Genomic DNA, 8,876 nt, shown 5'->3' with positions numbered 1-8,876 from the left:
TGAGAAAAAAGAAATTGGAGCTCCTAATGGTGGTCAGGCTAGAGGGATGGCCAAAACAAAAAACAAAAAACAAAACAAAAAAAAAAACAACCCCAATTCCTGTTCCCGTGTTCGGCGTCTCCCGGCTGCGGGCGGGCGCTGCCTGGAGGGGGCAGCAGGGGGCACCCTCCCCGCTCCTGCCCCGCCGCCCTCCCCGGCCCCCTCCCCGCCCCTCGCTCGCCCTGACGTCCCCAGCCCCCGCCTCTTTCTCTCCGGCCTTCAAAGGGCGCTGGGGGCCTTGGGGCCTGAGCGTCAGGCTGCAGCCTAGGGGTACTGCCGTCTTCGGCCCGCCGCGGGGTCCCCGGTGCGCTCCGTTCCCTCGATTCCCGTAGCGTCCCGCGCTTCAGGAGCAGGTGCCGGGACCGCCTGCGCGGCTGCTGTAACTTGTGCCTCCTAGCGGATCGCAGCCGCTGGCCACTCGCCCAGGGGAAGGGCGCGCAGGCGGGCACATGGAGAGCGGCGGTGGGAATGCTCCGGCCGGGGCCCTCGGGGCGGCGAGCGAGTCCCCTCAGTGCCCGCCGCCGCCGGGGGTGGAGGGCGCGGCCGGGCCGGCGGAGCCCGACGGGGCGGCGGAGGGCGCGGCAGGCGGCAGCGGCGAGGGCGAGAGTGGGGGCGGGCCGCGGCGGGCTCTGCGGGCAGTATACGTGCGCAGTGAGAGCTCCCAGGGCGGCGCGGCCGGCGGCCCGGAGGCTGGGGCGCGGCAGTGCCTGCTGCGGGCCTGCGAGGCCGAGGGCGCTCACCTCACCTCCGTGCCCTTCGGGGAGCTGGACTTCGGGGAGACGGCCGTGCTCGACGCCTTCTACGACGCAGGTGAGAGCGGCTTCGTCCCCACCTCAGTCCCAGTTCACCTACCCTCACACGAGCCAGGGCACCCGCCCCGCCCCCTCGCCCTTCTCCCCCGTCCCCCTCCCCCTCGTCCCCCTCCCCTCCCCCTCGTCCCCCTCCCCTCCCCCTCGTCCCCCTCCCCTCCCCCTAGTCCCCCTCCCCTCCCCCAGTCCCCCTCGTCTCTAGTCCCCCTCCCCTTATCCCCCTCCCCTTATCCCCCTCCCCCAGTCCCCCCTCCCGCAGGCCCCCCTCCCCTTAGTCCCCTCTCCCCTTAGTCTCCCTCCCCTTAGTCCACCTCCCCTTCCCCTAGTCCCCTTCCTCTCATCCCCCTCCCCTTAGCCCCCCTCCTATCCTCTCACCCCCTGATCCGTCCAACAGGACCGTCCTGCCTTTGGGGGAGGGTAGAGTCTTTAACATTGTGCCCTTTTACAGATAAGAAAATAGAGGCCACGGGCATTTAGACTCTTTGATTCTTCAGGCATCTTAAACATCAGATAACCCAAGAAACAGCCTGTAACCCAGACCCTACCAAGCCCCCCTTCTCCCAAGTTATCCAACTTTTGCTTTCTCATTCCTGGAAGGTCTCTTACGGCCGTGGGTCCCAACGCAGGCTACATATTAGAATCACCTGGGGAGCTTTTAAAACTCTGGGTGCCCAGATCGGACCCCAGACCAATGACATAAGCACCCGAGGCCTTAGAAGTGTCATGCTTCCCAGGCGATTCCATTTTGCAGCCAGGAGTGGAAATCGGTGTCTTACGTGTGTGTGTGTTGCCTCTACTTAGAAATACCCAGTGTTCTTTTGCACACTTCAATTCTCGTCCCCAAAACACTGACGGTGGAGTGTGAGCCACCACCCTGTGACGTATATTTTATCCCATAATGCACAGCATTCACGGGTTAGGGGGCACCTTTGCTGGAGTGGGACTCTAGGTCTCTAAACTCACTATAATAAATGTGCCTGAGAATCCAGCCTTAAGAAGCGTACTTTGGATTGGCAAGAGTTTCTCTCGGTGTGGAATGAATTGTTGCTTGACGTTTTTTCCCTTACAGCACCTTTGGTGACAAACCTCTGTCACCTGGGTGACGTTCAGAAGCATTATATGTGAGACAGTAATTACCTGGGAGTCCTTGTGCCTCAGTTTCTGGTCAAAGGGAGTTAACAGTGCCTACCCTAAACCTAAAAGCTGATGAGATAGGATATGGGAAGTTGCTTTGCTGTAATAGTAAGCTAGGATGATTAGGATTCAGCCTCTGCTGGAGGCAGCGCAGATCTGTTTTTCTTGCAGAGCAAATTCTCCCCAGCTGGAAGGGCGGGGTAGGGGGGGAGTCAGGCTTGTTTAAACAAGTGGCAGCTGGACCCATTGAAAGCACTCTCCTGACATTTCTGACCACACTGAGTATACTCTTCAGCACAACATCTTTTTAGAAAAGTCGTTCAGGAGTCCACTTCACCTAGAACCACTCCGTTTTCTCAACTTGTATTCATTCTGCTCCAAAATTGGAGTTTGAACAGACTCTTCTCTGAACGGTTAAATGTTCCTTTTGCCATGAGGCACAACACTCTCCTTCCTGCTGGTGCCACCTCTGAAAGATTTGTGTGCGGTGGCTTTTGCTTTCCCTGGGGCGGAGTGTGTGTGTACGGGGGGCCCTTCTAACAGGTCGACTGTGAAGATGCAGACGTCAAATCTCAGGCTTTCAATTCTGGAGCCACACAACAGACACGTCACCTTGGCTCACTCTGGCCTGGGTGGCCTAGAATGTTGGGCTGTACCACGAGCTCCCTTTGGTTAACCTTGTCCTGGTCTTGAGTAAATCATTTCTCAGTGCATTAGAATTGCTTTCAGAGGTTTGAGAAAGTACATACACAGTAAGTGGGTTCCTGGGCTAAACAGATGAGCACCTCCACTGTCTCCTGGATTCGTCCTCCATCACTCACTGCTTTTTGATGTTTCCACCAAAAAAGATACAGAGCTCTCACTTTGGCTTCTTTGTAAAAATTCTAAAACCACTCTGTCCAATTTGGTAGCCACTAGCCACAGGTGGCTCTTGACAGTTAAACTGATTAGAATACGGTAAAAATGGTAAGATCCTTAGTTGCACTAGTGGCATTTAAGGCGCTTGATAGGCCAGGTGCAGTGGCTCACGCCTGTAATCCCAGCCCTTTGGAAGGCCAAGGCGGGAGGATTGCTTGAGTACAGGAGTTCAAGACCAACCTGAGCAAAAAAAAAAAAAAAAAAAAAGCAGGATGTGGTGGCACCCATGTGCCTGTGGTCCCAGCTACCTGGGAGGTGGAGGCAGGAGGATCACTTAAGCCCGGGAGGTCGATGCTGCGGTGACCTGTGTTTATGCCACTGCACTCCAGCCTGGGTGACAGATCGAGACCCTGTCTCTAAATAAACGAATAAATGCATGCTCCGTAGGCACAAGTAACTCCCAGGTGGGACAGTGAAGTTACAGAACTCTTTCCTCATCTCAGAAGGTCCTATTGAACAATGCTGTTCTGGAAAAAGGCTTGTGGGGGAGGGGAACTGTTGAACGGCCCAAGTATTTATTTTTAACTTTAAGTTCTGGGATACATGTGCTGAACGTGCAGGTTTGTTACATAGGTATACATGTGCCATGGTGGTTTGCTGCACCAATCAACCTGTCATCTAGGTTTTAAGCATGCATTAGGTATTTGTCCTAATGCTCTCCCTCCCCTCCCACTCCCCACAGGCCCTGGGGTGTGTGTGTGATGTTCCCCTCCCTGTGTCCATGGGTTCTCATTGTTCAACTCCCACTTATGAGTGAGAACATGTAGTGTTTGGTTTTCTGTTCCTGTGTTAGTTTGCTGAGGATGATGGTTTCCAGCTTCATCCATGTCCCTGCAAAGGACATGAACTCATCCTTTTTCATGGCTGCATAGTATTCCATTGTGTATATGTGCAACATTTTCTTTATCCAGTCTATCATTGATGGGCATTTGGGTTGGTTCCAAGTCTTTGCTATTGTAAATAGTGCTGCAGTAAACATACATTTGCCTGTGTCTTTAGAGTAGAATGATTTATAATCCTTTGGGTATATACCCAGCAATGGGATTGCTGGGTCAAATGGTATTTCTGGTTCTAGATCCTTGAGGAATTGCCACACTGTCTTTCACAATGGTTGAACTAATTCACACTCCCACCAACAGTGTAAAAGCATTCCTATTTCTCCACATCCTCTCCAGCATCTGTTGTTTCCTGACTTTTTAATGATCGCCATTCTAACTGGCGTGAGATGGTATCTCATTGTGATTTTGATTTGCATTTCTCTAATGACTAGTATTGATGGGTTTTTTTTTCATATGTTTGTTTGCCACATAAATGTCTTCTTTTGAAAAGTGTCTGTTCATATCCTTTGCTCACTTTTTGATGGGGTTGTTTTTTTCTTGTACATTTGTTTAAGTTCCTTGTAGATTCTGGATATTAGACCTTTGTCAGATTGATAGATTCCAAAAACGTTCTCCCATTCTGTAGGTTGCCTGTTCACTCTGATGATAGTTTCTTCTGCTGTGCAGAAGCTCTTTAGTTTAATTAGATTTCCTTTGTCTATTTTGGCTTTTGTTGCCGTTGCTTTTGGTGTTTAAGCCATGAAGTCCTTGCCCATGCCTATGTCCTGAATGGTATTGCCTAGGTTTTCTTCTAGGGTTTTTATGGTTTTAGGTCTTACGTTTAAGTCTTTAATCCATCTTGAGTTAATTTTTGTATAAGGTGTAAGAAAGGGGTCCAGTTTCAGTTTTCTGCATATGGCTAGCCAGTTTTCCCAGCACCATTTATTAAATAGGGAATCCTTTCCCCATTGCTTGTTTTTGTCAGGTTTGTCAAAGATCAGATGGTTGTAGATGTGTGGCGTTATTTCTGAGGCCTCTGTTCTGTTCCACTGGTCTATATTCCTTGGTATTTTATTCTCTTAGTGGCAATTGTGAATGGGAGTTCACTCATGATTTGGCTCTGTGTTTGTCTTTTATTGGTGCATAGGAATGCTTGTGATTTTTGCACATTGATTTTGTATCCTGAGACTTTGCTGAAGTTGTTTATCAGCTTAAGGAGTTTTTGGGCTGAGACCGTGGGGTTTTCTAAATATACAATCATGTTGTCTACAAACAGACGATTTGACTTCCTCTCTTCCTAATTGAATACCCTTTATTTCCTTCTCCTGCCTGATTGCCCTGGCCAGAACTTCCAACACTATGTTGAATAGGAGTGGTGAGAGAGGGCATCCCTGGCTTGTGCCAGTTTTCAAAGGGAATGCTTCCAGCTTTTGCCCATTCAGTATGATATTGGCTATGGGTTTATTTTAAATAGCTCTTATTATTTTGAGATATGTTCCATCAATACCTAGTTTGTTGAGAGTTTTTAGCATGAAGCGGTGTTGAATTTTATCGAAGGCCTTTTCTGCATCTATTGAGATAATTGTGGTTTTTGTCATTGGTTCTGTTTATGTGATCGATTATGTTTGTTGATTTGCGTATGTTGAACCAGCCTTGCATTCAGGGATGAAGCCGACTTGATCATGGTGGATAAGCTTTTTGATGTGCTGCTGGATTCGGTTTGCCAGTATTTTATTGAGGATTTTCACATCGATGTTCATCCTGAAATTTTCTTTTTTTGTTGTGTCTCTGCCAGGTTTTGGAATCAGGATAATGCTGGCCTCCTTTTCTGTTGTTTGGAATAGTTTCAGAAGGAATGGTACCAGCTCCTCTTTGTACCTCTGGTAGAATTCGGCTGTGAGTCCGTCTAGGATTTTTTTAGTTGGTAGGCTATTACTGCCTCAATTTCAGAACTTGTTATTGGTCTTTTCAGGGATTTGACTTCTTCCTGGTTTTGTCTTGGGAGGGTGTATGTGTCCAGAAATTTATCCATTTCTTCTAGATTTTCTAGTTTATTTGTGTAGATGTGTTTATAGTGTTCTCTGATGGTAGTTTGTATTTCCATGGGATCAGTGGTGATTGCCCCTTTATCATTTTCTATTGTGTCTATTTGATTCTTCTCTCTTTTCTTCTTTATTAGTCTAGGTAGTGGTCTATCAATTTTGTTGATCTTTTCAAAAAACCAGCCCCTGAATTCATTGATTTTTTTGAAGGTTTTTTCATGTCTCTATTTCCTTCAGTTCTGCTCCAATCTTAGTTATTTCTTGTCTTCTGCTAGCTTTTGAATGTGTTTGCTCTTGCTTCTCTAGTCCTTTTAATTGTGATGTTAGGGTGTCGATTTTAGATCTTTCCTGCTTTCTCTTGTGGGCATTTAGTGCTATACATTTCCCTCTAAACACTACTTTAGCTGTGTCCCAGAGATTCTGGTACATTGTATCTTTGTTCTCATTGATTTCAAAGAACATCATTATTTCTGCTTTAATTTCGTTATTTACCCAGTAGTCATTCAGGAGCAGATTGTTCAGTTTCCACGTAGTTGTGCGGTTTTGAGTGAGTTTCTTAATCCTGAGTTCTAATTTAATTGCACTGTGGTCTGAGAGGCTGTTATGATTTCTGTTCTTTTGCATTTGCTGAGGAGTGTGTTACTTCCATTTATGTGGTCGATTTTAGAATAAGTGCTATGTGGCGCTAAGAAGAATGTGTATTCTGTTGACTTGGGGTGGAGAGTTCTGTAGATATCTATCAGGTCTGCTTCGGCCCAAGTATGTTTTAGGGGCCATCATCTATGGGAAATTTAAGCACTTCCTGTGTCCTGTTCTCACAGCAAGTCAAAGTCAGGTTTGACTGTGGTTTTCCATCTCCTTGTAGTGTTTCATGGGGTCCTGTGTGGGTCTAAATCTTGGGGCTGTGTCACTAGCACATATAGTGGATTGGATGAGCTGCAGGAAAATGGCAGGCAGGCCTTGGACGTAAGCAAGAGCAAGTGGATGCTGTTGGAAAAGGAAAGTACCGTGGGCTGAGAGGGGCAGGGCATGTCCCATTTGTGTTTTCTAAATTATTTTTAAATATTTATTTTTAAATTTTTGTACATATATATAGATTTTTTTTTGAGACAGGGTCTCACTCTGTTGCCCAGTCTAGAGTGCAGTGGCACGATCTTGGCACACTGCAGCCTCAACCTCCCACACTTGAGCAATCCTCCTGCCTCAGCCTCCCAAAATTCTGGGATTACAGGTGTGAGTCACCACCCCTGGCGCATTTTGTTTATTTTGTGTAGAGGTGAACTCTCACTCTGTGAGATCTTATGGACTCGAATTCCTGGGCTCAAGTGATCCTCCCACCTCAGCCTCCCAAATTACTAGGATTACAGGCGTGAACCACCACCCCCGGTCCTTGTGGTTTTTAAAATTGTGATAAAATATGTATAACAAAATTTACTATTTTGGCCATTTTTAGTGTTCATTTCAGTGTCATTACATATATTCACACTGTTACGTGACCATCAACAATATCCATCTCCAGGCCGGGCACGGTGGCTCACGCCTGTAATACCAGCACTTCGGGAGACTGAGGTAGGTGGATCACCTGAGCTCAAGAGTTTGAGACCAGCCTGGCCAACATGGCGAAACCCTGGTTCTACTAAAAATATAAAAATTAGCCAGGCGTGGTGGCGTGTACCTGTAGTCTCAGCTACTCAGGAGACTGAGGCAGGAGAATCGCTTGAGCCCAGGAGGCAGAGGTTGCAGTGAGCCAAGATTGCACCACTGCACTCCAGGCTGGCCAACAGAGCAAGACTCCATTTCGAAAAACAAAAACCAATATCCTGGCTGGGCGTGGCGGCTCATGCCTGTGATCCCAGCACTTTGGGAGGCCGAGGCGGGTGGATCACCTGAGGTCAGGAATTTGAGACCAGCCTGGCCCACATGGTGAAACCCTGTCTCTACTAAAAATACAAAAATTAGCCAGGCATGGTGGCGGGCACCTGTAATCTCAGCTACTCGGGAGGCTGAGCCAGGAGAATTGCTGGAACCCAGAAGGCAGAGGTTGCAGTGAGCTGAGATCGTGCCATTGCACTCCAGCCCAGGCAGACAACAGCGAGACCCCATCTCAAACAAAACAAAACCCTAGAAACCAATATGCATCTCCAGAACTTTTTTTAAAATAGTTTTTTAGAGCAGTTGTAGGTTCACAGCAAACTTGAGAAGAAAAGTGCAGAGTGTTCCCATCAACCCCTCTGCCCTCTCCCACAAACTCCCCTATCATGAGCTTCTTCCACCAGACTACGGCACTTGTGACAATTGATGAACTTACACATATGTTGACACATCATACTCACTTGAAATCTTTAGTTTACATTAGGGTTGAGTTTATATTAGTTGTTCTTTTTTTTTTTTTTTTTTTTTTTTTTTTTTTTTTTGAGACAAGGTGTCACTCTCACCCAGGCTGGAGTGCAGTAGCGCGATCACGGCTCACCGCAGCCTTGACCTCCCTGGGCTCAAGTGATCCTTCCACCTCAGCCTCCCGAGTCGCTGGGACTTACAGGCATGCACCACAGTGCCCGGCTAATTTTGGTAGGCTTTTGTCAGCTGCATCCTGTGTCTCCCTCCTAGAGGTTCTCAGTGTTTGTGAACATCTTAAAGACTTGAGGCAAGTTGCAGGAAGCAAAGAGACCTGTGTGACTTCGTCTCATACTTTCTCAAATGTTTTGACTGTGGAAACTATCCTCCTGGGATGCTGTAATTGAATACACTTATTGTAGTAGGAAGTCTTAAAATGACATTGGGACTGATAGAATACAATGCTTTTGTCTTCATGGAGTACACCGTTTTGTTTACTCTTAGAATAGTTAGGTGGTTAGTTGTGTAAGTGAGAGCCTCTACCTAGATGCTAATTAGCAGCATTCTTGAGTTAGCTATTAACTGCTTAAATGGCAAGAACAGCTTCTGAGGCACAAGTGATCTTCCCATACCTGTTGTGTCTGGCTTTGCATAACTTCACTCTTCTCTGAACCTCATTTAAATGTTACTTTCCTGACCCAGGGGTCCTGCTTCTGATTTTTGTTTTTTCCTTCTGTTACGTGCACAGTGATCTTAAAAGTTGTGAAGTATTGCAACCCATA

General features: G+C 47.5%; 1 protein-coding gene across 5 annotated transcripts in view; it reads left to right on the top strand.

The window, feature by feature from the left end:
* MAP3K15 (mitogen-activated protein kinase kinase kinase 15) overlaps window positions 242–8,876 on the top strand; it is a 155,450-nt gene continuing 146,815 nt past the window's right edge. For all 5 annotated transcript variants that reach the window (XR_007068188.1, NM_001001671.4, XM_011545508.4 and 2 more), the window contains exon 1: window positions 242–849. Coding sequence is in view for 4 of the 5 variants with exons in the window: in NM_001001671.4 (NP_001001671.3) it covers window positions 489–849 (361 nt within the window). In the remaining variant the exon portion in view is untranslated. The remainder of the gene's footprint in view (window positions 850–8,876) is intronic.

Source organism: Homo sapiens, chromosome X (genome assembly GCF_000001405.40).
Source record: "Homo sapiens chromosome X, GRCh38.p14 Primary Assembly".
In the NCBI taxonomy this organism is placed as follows: domain Eukaryota; kingdom Metazoa; phylum Chordata; class Mammalia; order Primates; family Hominidae; genus Homo; species Homo sapiens.
The sequence above is the reverse complement of the archived record's forward strand: the minus strand, read 5'-3'. Positions and strand labels throughout refer to the sequence as shown.